The sequence below is a fragment of the Homo sapiens genome, chromosome 4, assembly GCF_000001405.40.
Source record: "Homo sapiens chromosome 4, GRCh38.p14 Primary Assembly".
NCBI lineage: Eukaryota > Metazoa > Chordata > Mammalia > Primates > Hominidae > Homo > Homo sapiens.
In genome coordinates, this window is record NC_000004.12 from 37,648,925 (window position 1) to 37,668,532 (window position 19,608).

The 19,608-nt window shown below is 42.4% G+C and overlaps 1 protein-coding gene across 8 annotated transcripts in view, besides 4 other annotated features; it reads right to left on the minus strand.

Annotated features, from left to right (window-relative positions):
- The window catches only part of RELL1 (RELT like 1), a 100,073-nt gene that overhangs the window by 62,621 nt on the left and 17,844 nt on the right, over positions 1–19,608 (minus strand). For all 8 annotated transcript variants that reach the window (XR_007057961.1, XR_007057960.1, XR_007057958.1 and 5 more), the window contains exon 2: positions 352–576. Coding sequence is in view for 2 of the 8 variants with exons in the window: in NM_001085399.2 (NP_001078868.1) it covers positions 352–576 (225 nt within the window). In the remaining 6 variants the exon portion in view is untranslated. The remainder of the gene's footprint in view (positions 1–351; positions 577–19,608) is intronic.
- Positions 4,639–5,292: an enhancer, noted in NCBI's record as "OCT4-NANOG hESC enhancer chr4:37655185-37655838 (GRCh37/hg19 assembly coordinates)". NCBI's record gives its function as "activates a minimal SCP1, AML or CMV promoter by ChIP-STARR-seq in naive H9 embryonic stem cells {active_cell/tissue: H9 hESC(naive)}" and the evidence as "EXISTENCE:reporter gene assay evidence [ECO:0000049][PMID:30033119]".
- Positions 14,683–14,977: a silencer, noted in NCBI's record as "tiled region #2227; K562 Repressive DNase unmatched - State 9:DNaseU". NCBI's record gives its function as "represses a minimal TATA promoter and a strong SV40 promoter by Sharpr-MPRA in K562 cells {active_cell/tissue: K562}" and the evidence as "EXISTENCE:reporter gene assay evidence [ECO:0000049][PMID:27701403]".
- Positions 17,145–18,344: an enhancer, noted in NCBI's record as "P300/CBP strongly-dependent group 1 enhancer chr4:37667691-37668890 (GRCh37/hg19 assembly coordinates)". NCBI's record gives its function as "activates an origin of replication core promoter dependent on BRD2, BRD4, P300/CBP, MED14 and CDK7 cofactors, with strong dependence on P300/CBP, by STARR-seq in HCT116 cells {active_cell/tissue: HCT116}" and the evidence as "EXISTENCE:reporter gene assay evidence [ECO:0000049][PMID:35650434]".
- Positions 17,627–18,184: an enhancer, noted in NCBI's record as "H3K27ac-H3K4me1 hESC enhancer chr4:37668173-37668730 (GRCh37/hg19 assembly coordinates)". NCBI's record gives its function as "activates a minimal SCP1, AML or CMV promoter by ChIP-STARR-seq in naive H9 embryonic stem cells {active_cell/tissue: H9 hESC(naive)}" and the evidence as "EXISTENCE:reporter gene assay evidence [ECO:0000049][PMID:30033119]".

Here is a 19,608-nt window from a genome sequence, read left to right on the forward strand (position 1 = left end):
AAAGGTAAGGATTATTTTCCTCATTGAAATTAAATTAAAATGTCAAATGAATAAGATTAAATTAATTAAAAATACATTTAAGTGAAATTATACATGGCAGAGATTCAGAGCACACAATAACTTGTCTAAGGCCACAGGGCAAGAAAGGGTGCCCTATCTGGCAGGTATTCAGTAATGAAAGCAAGTTTTCAAACTAGGTGTGATTACTGCACAATCTGCACTTACACTACACTGCACCACCTGCCACTAAAATGGATCATTCTGCCTCAGAGAGATGGAAAGCATATATCACTGGTTTCATATTTAAAAACTGTCTCCTCACCCCCAATAAAAAGAGCCCTGGTTATTTACCTATCTTTTCAACCTTTTCCTCTTCGATATCTTGCTCTGCTTCTGTTGTACAACGATAGCCTTTCTTCTTAAGCAGGTGGCAAATGAGGACGCCAAAGAGACCCATGATAAAGAACACAGGGACAAGCGCGTATGCAATATATTCTGGGTGTCCATTCCCAGTATCGTTGCTGGGCGACGGGGTCGTCTCTGTTCTGGAGTGCAATGTGCGGCTGCTCCCATTGTCTACAGAAAGAAACATGCATGCTGCATTAGATATCTGTCCAGGGCAAGAAAAACCTAATGACTCTCAGGTAATGTTCACAGTAAGTCAGGGTCTGCTCCCGAAACCACAGGCCATGCAGACTGGTGGGTCCAGCTGCACAGGCAAAAGATAGCCCAGGTTTGAGCTCAAACAGTCTGAGTTTAACTCTGCTACTCATGAACCAGGTCCCATGCTGGGTCATTTTTTAAAACATCCTTTGAAGACAGCTTCTTCTTCATTGTGGAATGAGTATACAGGGTTGTCGTGAAGTGTCCAGCACAGAGTAAACACATAAACATTACATGTAACATTACAAACACAGAATGAACACATAAACACTACATGTAACATTACAAATATTACATAAACACTACATTACATTATAGCACAGTTCTTAGTGATTAAGAGCATGGCCTCAGAACACTCAAGTTCAATTCCCAGCTCCACCATTTAGCAGCTGTGTGACAATGGACAAGAACTTAACATCTTGATGCCTTGGTTTCTTATGAAATGGGCATACAAATACTACCTACTCACCCTTCTAGGATTGTTATAAAGATGAAATAAATTATTACGTGTAAACTAGCAAGCAACATAGCAAATATTCACCCACATGCCAGGCACCATTCTAGGCACTTGTGATGCAGGTTCATCACACTGAGCAAAACAGGCGGAGATTTGTTGTCCTCATGCAGCTTACATTCTAGGAGGATTTAGTAAACTAGCAGATCTAGAGTATGAAGAAGAGGGAAAAGTCAGGGATAGCATCAAGATCTTGGCCTGGGGTGCAAACATAAAAATGGAAGTGAGTGCACTTGTTTATTTGTTCACTAATCCCAATAAACATTGAATGCATGCCAGTTATGTGACAAGCACCACACTGGGTGGGAACTGGATAGAGTGATGAACAACGTAACGTAGCCCCTGCCATCTTGAGGCTCGTATATGATGGCATCAGAAACAGCCATTAAACAAGTATACACGGGCAGATCGTGACAGATTGTGAGAAATGCTGTGGAAGGAAAACACGGGGCACTAGAAGAGAAAAGAACAGTGGGGATCTACTTTATGACTTCAAGAATAGGGAAGCTTTGAAGTGGGCATCTTTTGGAGAAAAGGGAAGTTTTTGCCTTTAGACATGTCAAAGTATCACATGAATATATATATGAGAGACAGTTTGATATCTTAGCCTGCAGGGGTGCCACAGGGACTCCAGAAAGCAGTGAGCCTGGAGCACACAATTATACAATGTGGCCAACTGAGATCGCAGGAAGAACATACTTTGGGAGGCTGAAGGGGGTGGGGGGAGGGGGCGAATCACTTGAGGTCAGGAGTTCAAGACCAGCCTGGGCAACATGGTGAAACCCCGTCTCCACTAAAAATACAAAAATTAGCTGGGCATTGTGGTACACAACTGTGGTGCCAGCTACTGGAGAGGCAGAGGTGAGAGGATTGCTTGAGCCTGCGAGGCAGAGGTTGCAGTGAGCCAAGAAGTGCACCACTGCACTTCAGCCTGGGTGACAGAGCAAGACTGTCTCAAAAAAAAAAAAAAAAAAATTAAATTAAATTAAAAAGTATTAAAAAGTTAGCCTTATATATGTTCCTGTCACACAGTAAGCACTATAAATGTGTTAGCTACCACTATTAATATTTAGGCTGGGCACAGTGGCACATGCCTATAATCCCAACACTTTGGGAGGCCAAGGCAGGCGGATCACTTGAGGCCAGGAGTTCAGGAAGAACATACCGTGTAGCAAAAGAATCAGCAGAGCACCATGCCATGGAAAAATGAGGAGAGAAATACAAAATGAAGAGGGGAGTCAGGTAGATGAGGACCAAAGAAAACTGTGGGGTTTGACTGAAACAAAGCTTCAGTATTTGGAATATCCTGACTCTGAAAGGATAAAGTGAGGTTTTCTACATCAAGGGAGGTTCACACACACTGCTCAAGAAACCCAGAAATTGGAAAGCTAGAGACATTTAAATATAAGCTTTCTCAAGAGAATTTTGGTGAGAAAAGAATCCGTATTGTAATTGAGAGTGGCAGGAGGCAGTCAAATGCCCAGGCAGACAGGGTTGGGTCCCTGGTGAAACCCCACCTCCATGCTGAAGAATTTTAAAGCTTGAAAGCCAAGCTACAAGTTAAATCCTCGGACCAGATGGAGGACTTGTCTTCCTGTTTGGTGCGCTTTCCTCACAAACCAATCAGCACTCACTCCCCATTCTGAGTCCATAAAAGGCCCCAGACCCAGCCACACAGGAGGAACTTCAAGTAGAACCATTCCCCCGAGCCCCACATTGCCTCTCTGCTGAAAGCCATTTTCATAGCTCAATAAAATTCTTCTCCGCCCTCCTCACCCTTCAGTGTGTCGTGTATCCTCATTCTTCTTGGGTGCGCTACAAGAGCTTGGGAACTGCTGAAAGTGGGTACAAGCTATACCACAGGGGAGCTGAAGCACGCCAGCGTGGCCAAGCAGGGCGTCGAGGCTGGGGCAGAGCGTCGCCAGCCAGGAGGTCCCCAGTTTACAAAGTGACCGAGAAGAAAACTCCTGCATCATAATGATTATAATGGGGACAATATGCCTGGTATGAAATGAGCACGGTTCATCACAGCAGCAAACAAACAATATCAAACAGAAGCTTTATTTGCAAACCAGAGGCCATAGAACAAAGACTACCTCTCTTTCGCATGGAAATATCCATTGTCTTTGAACATGAAAGGAAATAATTGGTTTCTTAGGTTTGTAAGAGGTTGCATTCATTACTTTATCAGACAACCTCCAGAATTTGAAATAGCCAGTGTTTTCTGATTTCTCCCTGAAGAATCAATATAATAAATACATCCCTAAATATATGCAATATACCGTCTAAGTTAGGGTTTAACCTCATGCCTTATTTTCAGGAAAAACCAGAAACATTTATTTAATCCCTTTTATGGTCCTAAAACAATGTTTTCTTTATTAATTCCTTTATATAACACATATTCCACGCAACAAGAATAGGTGAAGTAGGCAGCATGCTGAGATCAAGGAGCTTTACTCAGAATCACTGTCTGTTTCAATCTGGGGGTGAAAATAAATTCTTTTTTAGGGGGACAATGGGAAAGAGGGATGAAAGAGGGGCTCAGAATTGGAGTCAAACACCTCCCTCTGAATCAGGTGATTGAGAAGGTGTCTTCATCGTGAATTTGACATGTGGCAACCCCTAACAAACACTAAATATCTACAGAGCTCTGTGACTTACAAACATGTGTCATTCACTTAATTTCATAATTATCGTGCCATGAAAAAACTGAAGATATTAATCTACATTAGTGAAGCATATAAATTACAGGGAGAGGCAATATAGCACTCAGATTAAAAGCTCAGACCTGGCAGAAATAACAGACATGTTATTGGCCACATACTAGACATGTCACCTTAGGCGAGTAATTTTAACTGTTCTGTACTCTGTTTCCTCTCTGTTAAAAGGATCAAAATGAGTGTGACTAATCTGTGATAATTTTACAAGATGGCCCTGGGAAATAAAAATCTAATCTCAGACCCCAATTTACTATGCCAAAAGGAAAAAATTAAACTGAAAGCTGAGTCATTCAAGAAATTGCGTTTCCTTTTGTTCTTAGGCAGATAGCTACTGATAAAAGGTGAAGTATCTGCACAGGTAGCTACTCCATGCTCACCTTATCTTAGGTAAAGTGCTGACTGACTGACATAATTGACTATTACCCTGCCCGCTCCTTTTCCCTTGCAACAGGTAGATTCAGTAATGTGAACATCTGCTCCCTCTTTCCCCTTGTATTGAAACCTCAATACAAGTATTGAAACCTCAATACAAGTATTGAAACCTCAATATTCAATACAAGTATTGAAACCTCAATATTCAATACAAGTATTGAAACCTCAATATTCAATACAAGTATTGAATACTCAATACAAGTATTGAGTATTGAAACCCTCAAAATCTTCTTAGGAAAATGGCATGAACCACAGATTGTTCCTGTGGATTTGAGATCCTTTTCTCTGGACATGTCCTTAACCTTTGCAAAATAAACTTCTAAATTGACTGAGACCCGTCTCAGATACTTTTTGGTTTCCAGCTTCAAAATTATTTGATACTGCTTCTACTGAGAGGTGAGGTCTGTATCTCGTCCCCTTACATTTACACTCTACTCTCCCTGACCCACAGAATGTGTTGGGAATGATGCATTATCACTTTCCAGCCTCAGGCAATAAGAAACTGACAACTTCCACTTCCTGTTTCTTGGGGCACTTGCTCTTGGAACCCAGCCACCATGCTGTGAGGAAGCCTAAGCTTCCCTGTGGAGAGAAAATAGCAGGCATCAACTTATCAGCCAGTAATAGCCATAATAAAAGTAGATCCTATAGTCCCAACTGATGCTCCATGGGGCATCAGAGCTGTCTCTGATGAACCCTGCCCAAATTGTATAACAAATCCTTAAACAAAAGAAATGATTGTTGTTTTCACCCACTAAGCTTTGGGGTTATTTGTCATACAGCAATAGTAACTGGAAGCCTGCTGCATGGTGTCACTGTGAAGATTAAACAATATTAATATGTAAAGCATTCAGAAGAGTGTCTACAAAAAGGTGGGCACTGTATTTTAGTCATAATCATAAAAGACCTGCATTATTCAGTAAGATAGCCACTAGCCACATGTAGCTATTTAAATTCAAATTTAAGCCAAATGAATTTAAATAAAATTAAAAATTCAGTTCCTCAGTTGCATTAGCCACATCTCAAGTGCCCAGTGGCCATGTGTGGCTAACTGCTACCATACTGGACGGCCCAGATAATGAACATTTCCACCATCCCAGAAAGTTTTTTTGGACAGCCCTGTTGTGCATTATAAAGAATAGCTAACAAGAAAGATGCAGAGTGGAGAATATATTGTGATCTACCTTAACAATTCAATGAAAAATAGCTTTTAAATAACAAAGTAACTGTTCATACATAATGTCTAAAACATTTATAAACTTCAGTAGGTTTAGCTTTCCTTCAATTTACACTAATAATTTGCTGAGAAACACTGTATCCCTTCTTCTCCTTCACCCCTAGCTGAATCATGTCTGAATCACGAACAAGTTACTTAGTCCAAATAGCAAAGGTTGTTGCATTATTTATAAAAGTCAAAAAATAGCAACACCTGCATATTTGCAATGAGATAGTAAAAACATATCTAAATCATGGTTTCATTTGATGAAATAATATGCACTATTTAAAGATCTATGAAATTTTTTGTGAAGATACAGGAAAACACTATGATCCAATATTGAATTTCAAAAGCTGGATTCAAAACCTTACATGCAATATGATCCAACTAGTTTTTTTAAAAAATAAAAACGCATGAAGGTATAAAGCCAAAACCAAAATGCTAAGTGATTCTCGGTACTAAAATAATGAAATAAATTTAATTTTATCTTTATACTTTTCTATAACTTTCTAAAATTAGTATGTGGTACTTTTGTACCAAGATGGTAGACACTTTAAAAAGTATGTAGAGCAGAGGCTGTTAGTCATTTGAGAGTCACAAACCCCTTTGTGAGGTCTGATGGATGCTAGGATTCCTATTTCAAAATTTTGCCTCCCGGTTCTGTGACTTCTTGAACCCAAATTAATGTAAGGGCAAGTGATGTAATAAAAATGACGTCCAAGTTTCTGCTTGAGCAACATAGTGGACATTGGACCCATTCATTGTGATGGGAAATATATATATATATATATAAAAAGCAAGTTTGCTTGGTGTTATGGTTTGAATTTTGTCACCCCCTCCTAAATTTATATGTTGAGCTCCTAACCCCCAATACCTCAGAATGTATTTGGAGATAGGATCTTTACATAGGTCATCTAGTTAAAATGAAGTCATCAGGGTGGACCCCAGTCCCATATGATTGGTGTCCTTCTGAAAAGGGGAAATGTGAAGAAAAAGGCAGAGATCTGGATGATGCTTCTTCTACAAGCTAAGGGACACCAAAGATTGCCAGCAAATCACCAGAACCCAGGAGAGAGGCATGAAACAGATTCTCTCATAGCCCTCAGAAGGAGGAAACTTTGCTGACACATTCCTCTTGGACTTCTCTGTTGCTGAAACCACCCTGTCTGTGGTACTTTGTGAGGCAGCTCTAGCAAACGAATTCACTTGGCATCTTGAGGACAATGTCACAGTTCAGTTTTGAACACGCAGAAATAGAGGTAAGCAGGTGACATCCAGATGGAAATAGGCATTGAGCAACTGGATCTGCTCCACTCAGAAGCTGAGGAAGAACAGCCAGAGCTCCAGTCTAGGACAGAAAGGAATGAGTTTCCAGAAGAGGTAAGTGGTCAGCTGGGTCAGATGCTGTAAGAGAGCACAACTAAAATACGAAGGAACTGCAAAATGGTGCCGCTGCTATGCTGGATAGTATTAAGCCTTCTCGAAAGGTTAAAAATAGAACTACCATGTGATCTAGAAATCCCACTTCTGGGTACATATCCAAAAAAAGAATTGAAATCAGGATCTTGAGGAGATACCTGCACTCCCATGTTGTCTGCAGCATTAGTTACAACAGCCAAGATGTGGAAGCCACCAAAATTCCCATCGATAGACAAAGGGATAAAGAAATCGTGGCATATGAAAATGGAATATTATTCAGCTTTATAAAGAAGAAAATCCTGCCAAATGTGACAACATGGGTAAACCCTGAGGACATTAGGCTAAATGAAATAAGCCAGACACCAAAGGACAAATACTATACAATTCTGTTTATATATGGTATCTAAAATAGTCAAACTCATAGAAACCAGAGAGTAGAATGGTGTTTGCCAGGGGCTGGGAGGGCAGGGGAATAGGGATAGTTGATGATCAACAGGCACAAAATATAAATTTTCAGTTACACGAGATTAATAAGTTCTAGAGATCTCACAATACTGTATTGTGCACTTAAAAATTTGTTCAGAGAGTAGACCTCATGTTAAGTGTTTTTACCATAATTTTTAAAAACAGAGAGAAGGAAAGAAACAAACAACCTGCTATAGTTTGAATATGATCTGTCCCCTCCAAAACACACGTTGAAATTTGGTCCCCAATGTAACAGTGTTGAGCTGTAGTGGGACCTTTAAGAAGTGCTTGGGTCTTGGGGACTCCACGCTCATAAAGGAGTTAACGTTGTTCTCACAGAAGTGAGTTAGTTCTCATGGGAGGGGGTTAGTTATTGGGAGTTTGGATTGTTATAAAAGCGAGTTCAGCTTCCTCGGCACTTTCTTGCTTCCTCTCTCACCATGTGATTTCTTCCATTTTGTCACTGATGTCATGAAGCAGCAAGAGGCCCTTACCAGATATGGCTATCCAATCTTGGACTTCCCATCCTCCAGAACTGTGAGCAAAATAAACCTCTATTCTTTATAAATTACCCAGTCTTAGGTATTCTGTTATAGCAACAGAAAACAAATGAAGACACAACCCAAGAGAAATCTTTAGAAAGAGGCTTGAGAAGAACTCAGATAAATCAGGCCACACAGAAATTCCTAAGAACACATGGGAAACCTTCAGTTTCTAATTTAGGAGCAGCTTGGGATTTTTTAACCTTTCCCTTCTTGGATTTTGCTCCCTGTTTCTCTGTAGTTTCCTGAAGTAAACATTCTTTAAAAATTCTAAAGATAAAGTAAAATAAAAAAGGAAATAAACAGGCAAAAATAAAATAGAAAGAAAAACAATCCACAGAAGCTCTTTGGTGGCCTTGCTGGAGCAGTTTTCCAATGAAATGGACGGCAAGATGCAAGCTGGATTCCCTGGGTTCAGGAACAGAGACACTGAGCTCATTGTGCTCCTTCCAGAAGCTCCTTCTGAGCAAGCAAGGAGGGTAGGGTAGTTCACCCTCAGGGTGAAGGGAAGAAATTTTTGTTTGGGGTTTATTTTTTAAGTGGATGAAACCAAAGTATTTATATGTAGAAGGGAAGGAGCAAAAGGGAGAGACAGAGCGGGAGTATGAAGCAATGGCCTTGAGATGACTTCCATATGAAGGAGGGGAGTTAAATATCTGAATAGAAAAGGATACAGTTTTTCCTGAGGCCTTCCTTTATAGTGGGTGGAAGAAAGTTGCGGGAACAGGTGCTTCTGTTGCCTTTTAACATAAAAAGCAAGGCCTGGTGTGGTGGCTTACACCTGAAATCCCAAGATTTTGGGAGGGCAAGGTGAGATTACACATTTTGTGAAACCTCATCTCTACAAAAAAATCCCCAAAAAATAAGATAGCTAGGAGTGCTTGTGCACACCTGTAGTCCCAGCTACTTGGGTGGCTGAGATGGGAGGATCAAATGAGGCCAGGAGGTGGAGGCTGCAGTGGGCCATGATTGTGCCACTCTACTGGGAGGGTGGGTCAGCCTGGGGGACACAGCGAGACCCTGTCACACACACACATATACACACACACTAAACATAAAAAGCAATGGCAAACCAGTGTAAAATGTACCTGCAGTCCCAACTACTGGGGAAGCTTGGGTAGGAGGATTACTTGAGCCCAGGAGTTCAAAGCCAGCCTAAGGAACAGCCAGGGAGGAAGCAATGACATCTGTTGGTAACTAGGAGGGTGAGGACAGAAGAGGGGACTTCAGCAGACAGGAGGCTTAGCAGAGAGACTGAAGGCAGGTGTCAGTGAAAATAATGCACAATGGCATTCAGGACACAGCTGAGATGTGCACCCCAAATCTCTAACTGTATGAGACCACTCAGGGCATGCCATGCAGGCTGGAAACCAAGCAGAATAACAAATCAGGATCAGAATGGAAAGCAGACAGAGCTAGAGTACGAAAGAGAACAGTTTAGGGTGAGATGGCTCCAGAATCGATGATATCTGATTCACACTAGTTTATTACAGCACTATCAATACTAACAACAGCCACCACCACAACTATGGAGCATGTATGAGCCAACACTAAGCTAAGCATTGAATCTTCACAGTAAACCTATAAAATGGTTACCAGTGTTATCCTCACATTACAGATGGGGAAACAGAAGCATAGAAAGGTCAGGCAATATTCCCAACATCAAGGTCACGTGGCTACCAAGTGGCAGTGCCTGGATTCAAACCAGGCAGTGTGGATCCTGCATGCTCAAACACACTTTATGTTACTCTCAGTGTCTGCATACGTAAAACACGACTTGTAAGAGAGTGCTGTTCATCTACCAATGCCTAAAGTACATTTTCATTATTTTTCTTTCAACAATATTTCATCATTTAGCCACTTTTCTGTTAAAATGCTAAATGATGGCCTATTCTTTCCTATTTCACAACTTGGTTTAGAATAAAGCCTCCACAGACTTCAAAACCATGGATTCCAATTAGCACAGCAAGAAGTAGGATAAGTTTTGAAAATGTTCCCACCAGACTCCAAAGCAGTTTTACCAGATAAACAACAAAAAACTCTACTATTTGCCCTTATCACCAATCAATCTCCCTCCCAACTCCCAAATCACAGCTCGCCTTATGCAGGTCATAACCTGGGATCCCTACAGCCTTGCTGGCTCTTCAAAAACAAGCCCATCACTTCATTTTGAGAGTCTTTTGCACACAGCAAGAGCCACTGAAATAGGCAGAGCTTGGCTCTAGCTGGTAAGTGTGATTCTCTTCCACAGCACCACAAATAAAAAATGTCCAACACAAAGGCCAGTGTTTGTCAAAATTCTTTGGGTTTTTCCTGGGCCCAGTAAGCTTTGGTAAATTTGCTGTATTCTGAGGACCCACTAGGTATGTGTGTTTTGCCAAGATCCTGCTGAGATTACAAAAGAAAACGTGAGATGAAAAAGATCAAAGACAGCAGGGAACTGAGGAGGAGGCATGAAGCATGGCTGGAAGTCAACCTAAAAAGTCAAAAGCAATTTTCTAGCTTGTTTCCAAGTAATACTTGTATTTCCAACTGACCCCAATGGTCAGAGGAGCCGAGACAGAATGGCGGGGAAATGGCATTTCTCACACCCAGTGGGCATGGCTTGAGGGTTGCTAACATTTTTTGGTCTAGATTACCAAGATGGCTAAATGTCTAAATGTTCATTTCTCAAAAGGGGTTTTTCTTCATCCACCTTTGCCACCAGCTACCTCTGTGATACTGAACAAGTCACTTCACCTCCCTGGGCCTCAGTTTCCTCATCTGAAAAATTAGAAGCAGGAGCTGATGTCCTTCATGGTTCTCAGAATTCCACTATTCCCCAACCTTCTGCAGCCTCATTCACTCTGGGCTGACACTGCTGGAGATGAAGACACGAGCCCATCCTCCATGTCCACAAGGCCAAATCCAAACAGCTCTCAAATCCAACCACAGACTACAGACAAGGCAGCCGTCCTAATCTCTCCCAAGCACTTTGTGCTGACCAAGATCAAGATCAAGAATGGCTCTGATAGCAATTCTTCCTCTCCTTACCAGGAAAGGGTGCGCATTCTCAGAAGCTAGGGTTTCCTGGCAAACTGAACCAACAAACTCTTGATGGGAAAGGAACTTGGCTGATAAGTGGATAACCCACATCAAGGTTAGCTGGAAAATAGTTTTTAAGCACACACACACACCCATTTTTATTTATTTATTTATTTATTTTTAAGCTAACATTCAAATCACAGTATCTGAGAAGGGTCTATTTTTTGGTCTAGATTACCAAGATGGCTAAATGTCTAAATGTTCATTTCTCTAAAGGGGTTTTTCTTCATCCACCATTTCCACCAGCTACCTGTGTGATACTGAACAAATCACTTCACCTCCCTGGGCCTCAGTTTCCTCATCTAAAAAATTACAAGCAGGAGCTGATGTTCTTCATGATTCTCAAAATTCCACTATTCCCCAACCTTCTGCAGCCTCATCCACAATTCACTCTGGGCTGACACTGCTGGAGATGAAGACACAAGCCCATCTTCCATGTCCACAAGGCCAAATCCCAACAGCTCTCAAATCCAATTTTTTCATAACTCCTTTGACAGCAACATCAAATCTGACAAATTCATCTGGTAGCAAACCCTGCACTGACCTGATGTGTGGCTATTTACACACACTCTCCTAGTAAGGAGAGGAAGAATTGCTATCAGAGCCATTCTTAATCTTGATTTTGGTCAGCACAAAGCTCGGGGGAAGTCACATCATTTAGAGTTTAGACTACCAGTCCCAAGGGTTTCCGACTGTCACAACTCTAAGAGTAAGGAGATTGGTCAGGGTACTGCACTTGCTCAAGGTCACATGGTTAAAAACTGTTAAGAGGCCGGGCGCGGTGGCTCACGCCTGTAATCCCAGCACTTTGGGAGGCCAAGGCGGGCAGATCACAAGGTCAGGAGATCAAGACCATCCTGGCTAACACGGTGAAACCCCGTCTCTACTAAAAATATAACAGATTAGCCAGGCATGGTGGCGGGCGCCTGTTGTCCCAGCTACTCGGGAGGCTGAGGCAGGAGAACAGCGTGAACCCGGGAGGCGGAGCTTGCAGTGAGCCGAGACTGTGCCACTGCACTCCAGCCTGGGTGACAGAGTGAGACTCTGTCTCAAAAAAAAAAAACAAAAAACAAAAAACCACAAACAAACAAACAAAAACTGGTAAGAACCTGGGACAAAAATCTTGTTTCAGGACAGAATCTGTAACTAGTCCACCTAGTTATACCTACTAGGTGTACTAGTCCACCTAGTAGCCTCTCAGTCCTACTTTGGTAGAGCTAGGACCTATTATCTAGTCAGTAGCTAACAGCTTACTACTAGTGCAAAACAACCTGTTTTAAGTTAATTCTGTTTGTTTGTTTGTTTGTTTGTTTGTTTTTTGAGACAGAGTCACTCTGTCACCTACGCCAGAGTGCAGTAGCACAATCTCAGCTCACTGCAACCTCTGCCTCCCAGGTTGAAGCAATTCTCCTGCCTCAGCCTCCAGAGTATCTGGGATTACAGGCGCACGCTGCCACACCTGGCTAATTTTTTGTATTTTAGTAGAGACGGAGTTTCACCATGTTGCCCAGGCTGGTCTCAAATTCCTGAGCTCAGGCAATCCACCCACCTTGGCCTTTCAAAGTGCTAGGATTACAGGCGTGAGCCACCGCACCTAGCCAAGTTAATTCTTTAAATACAGTTTAAATCAATTGCCCACAATAATAAAAGAAGAGAAACCAAAGCAAATTCTACAAAATAAAATCATCCCCAAATTATTCCTATTTGGTTACAGAGATAACTAAAGTCACAGTCTCTAAGACCATCTACCCACAGTGGCAATCATAAAGACACAGCATTTGCCCAAGCTCAAGAATATGTTGTAGAGAGAACAAATGGGCTTAAACAGAATTGGAGAACACTGTAAGTCAGTATATAAATAAGTGCTGAACTCTGTAGTGAAACTTGAGGCAGCTACCAGCTTCCAGACAATTCCTAGACAAACAGCTGCTACAACCCCACCTTTCCCCGAAAAGGCAGCTATGACTGGGCAGGGAGGGGACACCCAGATGGCACCCACCTGCCAAAGTCCACCCACCCATGAAACAAAACCCCACCCAACGCCAGCTGCATACAGTCCCTCAATTACTTTTATTTTGTTAAAATTCCTGAAATGCTACCATGAGTCATGAGCCCTGGAGTCTGATTCTGGGTTGCAAAGACCACTCTGGGAACAGATGGAAGCTCAGACAACTTCCCCAATAAAACGTGCAGAAGTCAGCAAAGCCTAGCTATAAATCCTTATTTTCAGATGCATTTGGCTAATGGATGCCTTGAAAAATTATCATTACTAATGATAATTATCATTTTTAATGGGAAAATGCATTTCAACTTACAATCTACTTACTCAAAAGTAGTATTTGGGGCATAACCTATCCTTAAGCTGGGGCTTTCTTCTTAAATACCACATAGATTGAGAAGGGAAGTAACAAAGATGATCCAGAAAGAAAAAGGACTTTATGCTGAGCCTCAACAGAATAACTGAATTTGGCTGGACAAAAAGGGAACAGGACACTCTTGACAGGCAGGAGGCTGGGGCACTCAGAGCATTCCTGAACCCCGGGTTGCTACCAGAACAAAGGACTGAAACTTGAGTGATGTCAATATAAAGAAACATCTTAAAAAAAAAAAAAAAGATGAAATCTAAATATTACCATCCCTGGCTTCAATTTGAACTGAAGAGAGAAAAATAACTTTGCAGAGTCAGATAAAGTCCCTAGCCTACTCCACACTGTCTCGGGTTTACCATTTGAAGTTATTTCTTAAAGCCACAGAACTCCAACACAGATGACAGCTACAGCCACCCCCATCCCCCCATCTTCCCCCACCTCCCACCTCGCCCAAAGCTCCGTCTTGGGAGGAAATTAACTCTAGGATCCCGGTGTCTTGAGAGGCCAAGGACCTCAACTTCTGGACTCTTCCAGAGTATCTCAAACAATGGTTTGCATTCAGGATACAACAGAAGGCTCATCTGACCTGGCCTCACCCCAGACTGGAGCAAGGTCAGCTTGCCAGTTATTTGCTTTGGGATACAGGCCAGGAAGCCACCAACTGTGCCTCTAAGACAGAAGACTGAGGAGATTCCCACAGACCCTCACTGATGGCTGCACACATCAGTGGGGTCCTCAGAGAGGGGCGTGAGGAAAAGCAATACCCGTGGGGCTCAAGGACTGGGAGGGCTCCCTGCTGACTCTCTCCCCATCTTCTTTTCCTGTTCTCCAGCCCCTCCCTCCCTCTTTCGCTGCCCCTCCTCCTTTTGCTATTTTTGGTGCTGTCCATTTGGGGACTTTTCCAAAGTCTTTATTTACTGATAGCACCGTCTGTCTCCTGGGAAGGGGCTGGGTGGCTGCACAACAGGAATGGAGAGAGCCTCTGACTAATGGCTCTTGCGAACCTTTAAAATTACACATTATGTCCACTCAAGAAAGAAATGGAATTCTGAAGAAGTCATTTGTTTGAAGTGACCTTAAAGCAACAGGGCTTCAGAAATCTAATATTTGCTTCAGATTATTTCTGAAAGGTGGTACGTCATAAAGAATGAGTTGCTACTTTAATTGTCAATCGCAGCATTCACACGGGGTGTTAGTGGTGTCAGGCAGTGTTCTGGATGCTTCCTGGGCAATCTCATTCTTCCCTCGCAGCATCTGTAAGGAAGCATCTCTCATTACCCCCATTCGCAGATGAGGAAAATGAGGCACACGGGTTCAATAACAAGCCTCGGTGTGTAGGAGGACAGGATCCAACCCAGACAATGGAATCCCGGGGCCCACACTCTTAGCCATGTTGCTTAACAGTGTCTGTAAGTGGCGGTGGCCTTGGGTTTTATCTAGTGACACATGCATTTAGGTGGCTTTGTTAAACTGTCACCAATGAACCACACAGCTGGGCTGCATACAGGTCAACATTCACCCACCCAAGGCCCTTAAACACTAAGAAGCTGCCTCTCTCCAATGACCCTATGATATACGATTAACACTGGAACTTGCACATATCTTCTTCTGGTGTAAAAATCATCTTCATAAAAAAAAGACTGAAGTCAGCTGTAGGTGAATGAAATTTGTAGTGGCTTCATTTTTTAAAAACCTTCATAGCACAAAATTTCCCAATATTAATTTTAACTGCAAAAAACAAAAGATCGACCGGGCGCAGTGGCTCATGCCTGTAATCCCAGCACTTTGGGAGGCCGAGGCAGGTGGATCACAAGGTCAAGAGATCAAGACCATCCTGGCCAACATGGTGAAACCCCGTCTCTACTAAAAATACAAAAATTAGCTGGGCATGGTGGCACGTGCCTGTAGTCCCAGCTGCTTGGGAGGCTGGGGCAGGAGAATTGCTTGAACCCGGGTTGAACCTGGGAGGCAGGGCTTGCAGTGAGCTGAGATCCCATCACTGTGACAGAGTGAGACTCCATCTCAAAAAAAAAAAAAAATCACTCATGTATAACTACTTCATCTCCCTCTATAACTATCATAAAGGTAAAAGTAAAAGACCTTTCTCTAGCTATTGAAAAGCACCTTATTCACAGATGCATGTGTTCACATTATTGCTCAAAAACTGTTATTCAGTGGTTGCCACAAACATAATTTGTACTAGCAATGTTAATTACATGGCATCTAAAAATCTTTCAGAAAAAATATTTAAAAAGAAAGGAGAGGAATAAAGAAAATTTTCAATCATACACATGAGATAGGGACACACAGTACAAGATATAAAAGTTCCCACCCAAATAACACACTTTTCAATGCACTTTCACATTCATTCTTTTATTTGAAATCCCTAATCCCAAGAAGTTAGGTAATATCATCATTCTGTAAATAAATCAGTGGCCTACATGATATCACTGGGTCGAGGCAGAGAAATGAGCCAAGCAGAAGAACCAAAGCTTAGGAGGACATTTTCCCCACCCACCTCACTACAACAGCGCACCACTCAGACATACCACGGTCAAAGGCAGGAATCCCAGCAGGACACAGAACTCGCCGGAAAACCCTGACTGAAGTCAAACACCTCTTTCCCTAAGTGGAGGTGGGGAAGTGAAGGTTTGTACCTCTAATCCCTAACACAGTTCCTGCAACACAGTAGGAGTGCCTGAAACATCTGCTGCAGCAATGTTATATGTGAAAGCAAATTCTCTCATTGCAGAAGGGCTCCTGGGTAATCAATCAAGTCCCCAAGTTCACAGTAACTTTATAAGCAGTTTTGTTAAGATCCTATTTGGTAGAACAGAATATCCAGTGTACTTACACCCCATTTGCCAAATGCCAACAGTTTTTACAAACATAAATAAGTAGATTCTTTTCAGAGCTGGACAACTGATACACCCCACTGCTTCACCCCCTTGTTGGGTAAGTCCTTTCTGAAGGATGTAAATATACCAGCATGCTCCTGGGTTCATCGAAATCAACAGAAGTTTCCAGTTTGCAAAGATCCAAAAGAAAGGCTATAAATAGCAGCACATTCCTAAACCCAGCTTGGGGAACTAGCTCTCAACTGGATTTTCACAGGACTCCAATTCATCCCCAACTGCCAGATCCATAAGGGGACGCTAAATCCGAGCTTACACAACCTCACCAAAGGCTACTGCCCAATTTCCACGTGGCTGCGAGTCCTAACAGAACTGTTCATGTATATTCCTTGCAAGAGGCCAACCAAGAACTAGGTTAGAAATTATTTAAACTATGGGAGGAAGTCTAAGTAGCAAGGGCCAGAAAAAAACCATCAAATAGGAGGAAACACGCCATCTCAGCCTGTCTCCAGTAGCAACGGGAAGAAATGGGGTCAAAGGGGTGCTCCTTTAGGAAATCAGTGAATTCCCTGAAGCTTACAGAGAGCTGGTGCAGGAAACCAGTCCTTGGGGAGCTAGATCCCTGGTTTCTGGGCACAACTGGCACCTGTCAGGGTTAGAAGTCCAGCCAAGTCATTTCTACCCTGCAGAATAGGACATAAACTAATCACATGGGGAAAAAATGGGTGGTGCTGAGCTGGCTGGAGGGAAGCAAGGGCGTCAGAAAGGAAGACTGGCCCAGCACCCGACCAGGCAGAGGGAGAAAGAGAGATGGTGACTGATGCCCCTGTGGAGTGTTGGGGGTTTATGATTTCCAGATCCAGGGCCTCTAGGATGCTCAACTACTTTACCACCAACTGCTAACAGCCACTAACCTTTACTGGAATTTTTACTTACATTATCATTTCTTATCTCTACAACTCTGAGATAGGTGTTAATATTAAACCCATCTTAGAAATGGAGATGATCAAGAACAAAGTATTGAAGCTGAAGTCACTCATCTGGGAAATGGCTGGGCCAACATTTGAACCAAGGTCTGTTGCACGCAGGGCCAACTCTGAAGCAAGACTACTCCCTATGAAGCATGGAAGCAAAAGCAGAAACTGGCTTTTTTCTTGGCTGCACTGTGTTCAATTTGTTTCCTAGCTGTGAAGCCCCAGGCAAGGTCAATTAGCATCTCTGTGCCTCAGTTTCCTCATCCATAAAATAATAATAGTTTCTAAGCCTTATATGAGATTACTAGGGTTTATCCAAGTTAAGACTTGATAAATGCTAGCCATTATTGCTGTGATTATTATTATCTGTGGTAATAAGAGCAAAGCAGTTGCTATCCTCACCAAGCTCACAGCTCAGCTGGGGATATAAAATCAAACATCCAGAAAAGGACAAGGAATCACATGAGCTGGGCTGGAAGGGGCAGTGTTAAATGTGGGGTGCAGAAAAGATAAGCCCTGGGGGTGAGTGAGCAGCGACCACACAGCACTGCTCAGGTGGTACCACAAGGCCAGGCAGGCACCCACATCCCCACATGCAAGCCAGTGTTTCTCTTCCTTCCAGGAACAGGAAGCAGATAATGACTAAACAGAGAACTACAAAAGTCCTAAACGAAGGGTTTTCCAATTAGTCACAGGTTAGGTCGGGCAATGTTCCTGCAAGACAGGCACGTGGGCTGGCTTCTGAGAACATAGGAACTGGAAAAGGAAGGTGAGTAAATGTTGAGCTCCAAGGATCTGTCCCGGCTGAAGTCCCCTGGTGTGAAGTCCCCGCTACTGCTGTTAGAGAAAGGGCAAAGTAAAGGAGGGAGTAGGAAAGAAAATAAAGGTCACTTCAGAAAAGGCAAACGAAGGAAAGATTGAACAGAAGTAACCAGGAAAACCCTAGACGTAGGGAAGTCAATGTTAAAGAAGAGAAATGAATGTCACTAGCATGAAACCCAAACAAGAACTCTGAAAACCAGTAGCAACCAGTGAGACACACAGAAAAAAATACTATTAATAATAGTCACATATTGATGTATAATGTGTACAGTTACTATTTCAAGCATTTTTCAGATATTAACTCATTTCATCCTTACAATAACTCTATGGGGTAGCTTCTATTATTTCCAGCCCCATTTAAAGATGTAAAACTACAGAACAGAGAGGTTAAGTAACCTATGCCAGGTCACACAGGTAGCAAGTATCAAAGGTGACTTTAATCCAGGCAGCCTGGCTCCAGAACTCCACACTCTGCTCCATTACTGCTGAAATGTGAGGGCTCACAGTTTCAACATTCAGTAAAAGTCCATGGAATGGGATTCTCCATAGCTCATCTCTATTATAGATACTACAGGGTTCACGTAGTAGAGTTAGAGAAGGTAGAAAACCTACAGATAATCATTATCCCTGTAACACAGCAATAAATCTACAATGACAGAATGGCATTTCCTAGTGAGTCAGTTATTAGGAAGAGAAGGTACATTTAAAAGTTACGTTCTTTCCAAGTCAATTTATCTTTTTTTTTAACCAAGTGCTAATTGTTAAAAAGTAATTCTGCTGCCATTTGTAAGATACAAAATTAAAATGCTACCCTGATCTACATATAACACTGATGAAACAGTTGGTTACTTCTCAGAAATCCTAAACTTCCTTTGCACTCTTAAAACAATAGAAACACTTTGTATGAAGGGATCAGATTTGTCATCACCCACTTTGTCCAAAATGATCTCAATTGTGAATGAAAAATGTTAAGTGAAAAAAAAACACATACAAAGCAGTATTTAGAGCTTAAATGGTCCCAGTTTTTATAAGAAAAAAAAAGACATCAAAATGTTATCAAAGTGGTAAGATTATAAGTCATTTTTTTTCTTTAGTGTTTTGTGTCTTAGCATTCCCCACATTTCCTTTTATTTTAATTATTCACAGTAAAATCACAAAATGTTTTTCAAAAAAGGGAGGAGGTATGCACAGAAAAAAAGGAACCCCCTCCCCCTCCCCCTCCCCCTCTCCCTCTCCCCTCTTTCCACGGTCTCCCTCTGATACCGAGCCGAAGCTGGACTGTACTGCTGCCATGTCGGCTCACTGCAACCTCCCTGCCTGATTCTCCTGCCTCAGCCTGCCGAGTGCCTGCGATTGTAGGCCCGCGCCGCCACGCCTGACTGGTTTTCGTATTTTTTGGGTGGAGACGGGGTTTCGCTGTGTTGGCCAGGCTGGTCTCCAGCTCCTAACCGCGAGTGATCCGCCAGCCTCGGCCTCCCGAGGTGCCGGGATTGCAGACGGAGTCTCCTTCACTCAGTGCTCAATGGTGCCCAG